The sequence below is a fragment of the Homo sapiens genome, chromosome 12 (genome assembly GCF_000001405.40).
Source record: "Homo sapiens chromosome 12, GRCh38.p14 Primary Assembly".
NCBI lineage: Eukaryota > Metazoa > Chordata > Mammalia > Primates > Hominidae > Homo > Homo sapiens.
This window is the reverse complement of record NC_000012.12, coordinates 63,270,703-63,272,678: the sequence shown is the minus strand read 5'-3', so window position 1 is coordinate 63,272,678 and position 1,976 is coordinate 63,270,703. Positions and strand designations below refer to the sequence as shown.

Genomic DNA, 1,976 nt, shown 5'->3' with positions numbered 1-1,976 from the left:
AAAGACACACTTGTTCAATGTCATGATCACACTATTACATTTAGCAATCAACAGCATAGGTGCAAAAAGTAAAAAATATTCTACATTGAAACCTTTTGTTGGAATGATTTACACTTTCCACAGAGCAGAAACTAAAATAACCTATTATACAATTAGTCACCACTACAGTCCTAGAGTTTTTTTACCCATACACCTGACTATCATCTAAAACATGTCTTCTTTGTAGCAACTAGGCCCTGCCACCACTGTGCTTGGCTGAGTTCACAGACCTGTTGTAATCTGTAATTTCCTTGTCATGTCTCTGGCTCTACTCTACTGCTAAGCTTTGTTTCCTGGCAGTAATTAAAATTTTCTGCCACTGCCATAGCTACCGCTGCTACTAGAACCACAATAACCATCTTGGTTTCATGGTTTGGCAAAGTATTGGCCTCCATCACCATAGGGACCAGAACTTCTGCTTCTGAAGTTTCCTTCCATCATGGGTCCAAAATTTGAAGATTGACAGTTGTAACTGCCAAAATCACTGTAGCTTCCACCACCTCCAAAATTGTTTCCATCATTACCAAATCCATTATAGCCATCTCCACTGCCACCATATCCACCACAACCACCACAGCTGCCACCAAACCCACCATGACTACTGAAGTTTCCTCCATGACCAAAGTTGTCATTCCCACCAAAACCACCTCCATGACCACCACCAAAGTTTCTAGAACCACTTTGAACTCTTTGGCTGGATGAAGCATTAGCTTTGATAGGGCTTTCCTTACTTCAAGGTTGTGGCCATTCATAGTACAGTAATTCTGAATGATAATCTTATCCACGGAGTCATGGCTATCAAAGGTTACAAAAGCAAAAAAGCAAAGCCCCTTTTCTTGCCACTGCCTCCATCAGTCATGATTTAAATCACTTACATTTTCCCATGCTGTTCAAAATAGTCTCTTAACTCATGCCCTTTGGTATCTTCTTTAATGCCACCAACAAATATCTTTTTCACAGTTAAGTGGGCATCTGGTCTCTTGAGACAGCTCTCTTTGGTTCCACAACTCTTCCATCCCCCTTGTGTGGCCTTGTATTCATGGCTGCATGCACCCCTTCCACAGTGGCACATGTGACAACCCCAAAGACCCTGGAGTGCTTGGCATTTGGATCTCTCATTACCACACAGTCTGTGAGAATTTTCCATTGCTCAGATTAGCTCCTCAGTCTCTCATTAATTCTTTCAAATTTCAACCCTCTGATGAGGAGTTTCCACAGCTGTTTGGGCTCTTTAGGAGACTCTGACTTAGACACGATGGCAGTGGGAAGAGAGACGTTAGTGATCGTTCTTCAGTGGCATCCACAGGCAGAAAGCCCTAATGTGTCATTTTTATAATTAAAAAATGGTACTCTACAAAAAGGTTCTGGTGGTCAAAATGGGCAGATACGAAAAGTACACTCCCATTACAATAAGTTGTTTGAGTAAAATAACTATTCCTGGCTGGGAATGTGGTAAAAAATTGTATGCCTCTCCTCGAATTCCTTACAGGCAATAAAACTTCCAAGATTGCAATGCTCTGATTGCCAGAGCAGACTAGGGGGTCATGCTGCTGGAATTAAGATTTAGACTGGAATGTCCTGAATGGTATTGCCTAGGTTTTCTTCTAGGGTTTTTATGGTTTTAGGTCTAACATTTAAGTCTTTAATCCATCTTCAATTAATTTTTGTATAAGGTGTAAGGAAGGGATCCAGTTTCAGCTTTCTACATATGGCTAGCCAGTTTTCCCAGCACCATTTATTAAATAGGGAATCCTTTCCCCATTTCTTGTTTTTGTCAGGTTTCTCAAAGGTCAGATGGTTGTAGATGTGTGGTATTATTTCTGAGGGCTCTGTTCTGTTCCATTGGTCTATATCTCTGTTTTGGTACCAGTACCATGCTGTTTTGGTTACTGTAGCCTTATAGTATAGTTTGAAATCAGGTAGCATGATGCCTCCAG

General features: G+C 41.0%; 1 pseudogene; it reads right to left on the bottom strand.

The window, feature by feature from the left end:
* Nucleotides 1–1,353, bottom strand: HNRNPA1P69 (heterogeneous nuclear ribonucleoprotein A1 pseudogene 69; annotated as a pseudogene).